Source organism: Homo sapiens, chromosome 11 (assembly GCF_000001405.40).
Source record: "Homo sapiens chromosome 11, GRCh38.p14 Primary Assembly".
NCBI classification, from domain to species: Eukaryota; Metazoa; Chordata; class Mammalia; order Primates; family Hominidae; genus Homo; species Homo sapiens.
Window position 1 is genome coordinate 26,896,448 of NC_000011.10, and position 5,504 is coordinate 26,901,951.

Sequence of the window (5,504 nt, forward strand, 5' to 3'; positions counted from 1 at the left end):
TGACGAGGAAACACAACTAACAGGAAGGATGTACACAGAAGAAAGTAAGTGGGGCTTCTGTGTTAATTGCAGGTTTTCCCAAAAATTCTTGTCAATTGGCTGTAATCCCTTGGAAACCTTAGGGTTACATTTACTATTTCAGAATGTACAGTGAGTCTTATAATATGATTATAATAACTACATTTATAGACTTATTAGAGAATTAAATGAGATGTCATATATAAAATACTTAGCACTGTACTTGCCACAAAGTGAGCAATAACTGATAGACATTTTTAAATTATCGTCACTTTATCATCATTAATTATTATCATCAAATTGAAGCTCAAAGAGATTAAATGACTTGCTCAAGGCCACCCAACTAGAAAAGAATTCCAGCTTATCTTTGTATTCTAATCTATTTAACTCCCAAGGCTTTTTCTCTTCTGCCTGTTTAGAAAGCTTGGGGTGATGGAATACCAGCATCAGAATGCAAAAAATGAAGTGTGCAACTCCACCCAGTTTGGGAATCTGGAATTGCTGTTCCAATACACTTTTATAGCAATTCTACAGATGTTGTTTAGTGCTGAGCATGAAGACTGAGGGACAGGGTGGCCAAGGGAAATATCTTCTGCTGAATAATCATAATTTTCACTTAGGATTTTTTATTTAAAACGCTGTTAACCTGGAATGTAACTGATCTGGCCAAGAAGGTGAAACTCACATTTATGATTTATTCACTCAACCAATAAATATTTCATGAAAGTATACCATGTAATAGACTCTAGTATTACAAAAATAAATTAGACTGTGATCCCTGCCTCCATGTAAATTAATCTATTATTATTTTTCACCTTTTTCGTCTTGTTCCTCTTTCCTATTTCCATTCGTTTGGTGAAAAGGCTATTCATTTCCCCTTGTAATTTGAGATTTCCACTGTACTTTTACACCCTATTTAGAGTTAACTTTTCTTTCTAAACACAGTAACAAGACACATTCTAAATTATTTTTTAAATGTTGGAGGCTAATCCCTTGTCCAAGGTGTTCTATTGATTTGCCTTTCTCCAATGCAGCTAGTCCATTAAAGAGGTTTCCTTTCCCAAATTCCCTCACTCTGGGAGATCTGCGAAAGGCATTTATTTTATCCCTCTTTCTCATGAAACTCTCCAGTTTGCTATTCCTTTGGTACTTTTGGTTTGAGGTTATTATTAGCTTTTCGCTTGCAGTTTGTCTTTTCTAGTTTAACAATTCCTGTTTTGTGCTTAAATTCCACATTCCCAGTTACACTCCAATTATCCACTTAGATTTTGACTATAACTATTGCAAAATTTATCACCCTTCTTTTCTCTCTGATTCTTATTCTACTATATGGAAGTCTCAATTCGGATCTGTTTGCTGTTTTTTAGTTTATAGAGAAATATTCCCTCAGACGGGATAACTGAGTGGTAGGTACTCTTTAGCATCTTGAATATCTGGACATATCTTTCTCTCATCATGGAAAGCAAATGTGATACTTGGGTTGCAGTCCTTCTTGCTAATATTCTCTACAAGTTACTCTACCATTTTTTAGCTTCCAGTGTTGCATATGAAAATCAAATGCTTATTTGATTTTTATTTTTGTAGATAAATTGTTTTCGCATCAAAAGTTCATGAGTTCTCTTTATTCTTGGAGCTGTGGAATTTTACCAGAATAAGCCTAGATATGTTTCTTCTAACATCTAACATCTTCACAATCTAACATTCAGTTGGTACTTTTTCATATTCATGATACGTTACTAATTTATTTGTTGTTTTTCTTCAACTATTCTCTTTCCGTTCTTTGGAAATTTTATTATTTTAACATGGTAAGTATCCTGGATCTCTTCTCCAGGAAACATTTCCATAATCATTTCCATTTCTTGGTATTTTTATTTGTTCTGAGATATTTATTCCAGGTCCTAACAGGTCTCAACCATAACCCTTGCCTTCTTCTACTTGTCTACATGCTTTTTAAGGTCCCAATTCATGTTTATAAACAGAAAAAGATTGCTTAAAAAAAATTGATTCATTATAGGTAATCTTTTACATTTTAAAATCATGTTATCTCCTCTAGCACTACCATTCCTCTTGAACATGTCTTTTCTCTGTCTTCTATTTTTTTTCCCTGTTTGTTGGGTTCATTTGCCTGATCAGTAGATTTTAGGTACAGTTGTTGGGGTACCTTAAGTGACAGCAGTCTTTGATTGTCAAGAAGCACAGAAGTCTCCACACATGAGATCCACGTCAAACAGCTATCATGAGAATAAACTTTTTCTGTTTTATCATCTCCTAAAATAATAATACTGGCAATAGCTGGCAAAGGCTGACACTCTTCCATTGTCAGGAGGAGAAGAAATAAAAAAAAAACACCTGTTTAACTGACCAGCTCTTGCTACTAAAAGTGTGGTCTTTGGACCAGCAGCAGTGGACTCAAAAGTAAAAACTTTGTAAAGGCCATGAGCTGATCAGTGGAAGCCCTTGATGCCCAACTTGTCTGACTATTAGTCACACCAATTAGATTGGATAGATGCATGGCTTTAGTACGGTGTTGTGCCTCAGGACATGCACATAGACTTAACATGATGTATTATTTCTTGTTGAGCACAACCTACCTAAAATGATGACTACTAAATAGCATACAATGAGTATAGCACATAGTACACTCAAAGAGCCCCAAGATTATGGAATAGTAACATTCCACAGAAAATTTGAGATTCAGAACTTGCAATGATGCTTTCCAAGATCTGTAGGATTCTAGGATTTATGAGATCTGATAGATTATTTTGGGATGAATAGATTCCTGAGTAGAGCCAGTTTATATAGCTTTGTCATTATTCATGAAACACATTTCAACTCAAGGTCCCAAGTCAAATTTCATCAATGATTGCTTTCAAGCATAATAAGTACAACTTTAATAGATTTACAGCATCTTAAGAAGTTGCAAGTTGACTGAGAATTACCCAATGAAGGGTCAACATTCAGAAATCCATGGAATTGCCCCAAATAAGTTCCTTTTTCCTTCAATTTTATAATCAGGCATCATATGGCTATATTTTTCACTGTTCTGTGATTTCCTTTCTTTGGAAAAGGCCATATAATTTTATACATTACTTCATTTTGTTTGTTTTAAGGTGTTTTGAAAAATCAAACTGGGATCCTTTTTGATATGTAGAAGTTAAGTAGTCTAATATCTTTCATCCAATGAGGAACATAATGGAAGAAACTTATATAAGTACATTTAAATATAAGTAATATGTTTGGCAACATAATGTTGGTTGTGCTAGAATTTATCTGGAGACATTTTTAGTATTTATGAACAAGTGCATTATGTCACAAAATGCGGAGAGCCCACAAAAAGGTGACAAGAGTACCAGACAGGGCCTAAAAAGAGACACATTTTGAGTTTTCATTATTCCTATTTCTCCTGGGCATGCCCCATCATTATTTGTTGTGGGATTTGGATCATTGCAGCAATTGAAAGGAAAAGGTTATAAGTTAGTATATAATTTAGTCATAAATGTTAACTAAATAAAACTAAATAAAGCTTTACCCTCCCCCCACAAAAAAAAAACCTTTACACTAAATTTGCTACAATTCTTTGCCTTCTCCAGTGAAACTGCCATGTAAAAACATCCTAAGATTTCTTAAGTCACGTTGGTCCATCTTTTCTTTGATGTCATGGGATCACATAAAAGATGGCGTATAGCAGGGCTCCTGTTGGCAGTAAAAGCATGATGTCACTGAATCAATCATCCAGTCCCCATTAAATCATGGGGCAAAAAGTATCAGCACATTCCATGTTCTTTGCTGCTCTTAAAATCAAGTACACCACAGAACCCTCACTAGGCCTCCAACATTTCACCAAATTTTGGTCTCTGATTCTTAGTTATGTTTTATTATTCAGGTACAGAAATCATAGCTTCCATGGGTGGGAAACAAGGAAAGATAGAAAGGCCACATTTTGGTGATACACACTTCCCCCATGTCTCTAATCATGAAAGGTCTTCTTGCTCTTCTGTTGTGTAGAAGTAGGTGCTACAAGCAAAGCTGATCTTATATAACCTACCTCTTTCTTCTACTTCTTCATTCTTGATCCTCAGGATCTGACACATTTCCCTGACCCCAAATTCCCTCTTTTTTCCTTTCTCACTCTCTACACTCCCTGCACTGTATTTGTTCAAGGTGGAGCCTCGGGCTATATCTTCTAAAGTATTGGAGCTGATAAAAGCTATAGTGCTTACTCAAGTCCAGATTCCTCTTTTTACCTGTGAGTAAATTGTAGACCAGAAAGAAAAAGTCATTAGACCAAGTTAACACAACCATACTTTGGCCACAATAGCACTACATTCTGGGTCTTCTAATTTTCAGCCAAGTCTCCTTTCTATTCCCCTCATGCCTTGTTGTACAGAAACAAAGAAAAAAAATGACTTAACATATGACCTATCATATAAAAGTAATTTTTAATTATGACTTTATAATTTCGTAAATTGGGATTTGAGTATCTCACTTCCTGTCTCTCATCTCTGACCTACAAAGCTAGTATGAAATAATTAGAAAAGACACCCCCATTATTCATTGATATTTAGAAAGATCTGACCCAGAAAGATGCCATTTTACCAGAAATACAGTATTATCCATTTAGTTATTTAAGTCCAACAAATATGTTTGAAGGCATACTTCAAAATCAAGTCATGAGCATTAGATATATAAACAGTCAACTTCCTGGAAAAGCTAACAACTTGAAAAGAGATGATTTCCTCTAAGGACCCAACTTCTCCTAGTGGAAAATACATTATCTCACAAATAGGAGCTTGTTTCCTGCTTTTTGTTAATAAGGGAAGCCAATGTTAGAATGAAGGCCTCAGGGATGAAAATAAAATGAGTGGAACAGTTCTTGGCAAGGCTGCCTGAGGGATTTGGCTTCTTGACAGTGAAAATAGGCCTCAACTATATAAATTATGCAGGTTGGGACAGCCTAAGTCTCAGCCTTCCTAGATGGAGTCATGTGGGAAAGAACGTCTAGACATGAGAAATCAAGTTATTGCTTTTATAACTCCCATTTTAAAAACTGCTAAGAGCAGTACCTGCAATGGACTGTAATGTAGAACTATGTAATGTCTATCAAATTTACTGCAGCAGTCATATGAAGCAGATATTTGGACCAGCTAGAAATGATCAATTATTCCAAACACTGTCATCATTTAAAAACATCCTGCTTCTTGCTTTTGGAAAGAACAATTACTTACACTCTTAAAAAACAGTTTGTAAGAGGAGAAATTCAGCAGAAAATAGACCTGCATATGCTATTTATGAGCTCTACAATGATAAACCTCCTCATTGCCTCCAAGGAAAACAGAGACCCTCTTGTAGAGGTTTCTTGCATCTCAATTTGCAGGTTAGAAACACTGTTCACAATAGCAAAGACTTGGAACCAACCAAAATGCCCATCAATGATAGACTGGATAAAGAAAATGTGGCACATATACACCATGGAATACTAAGCAGCC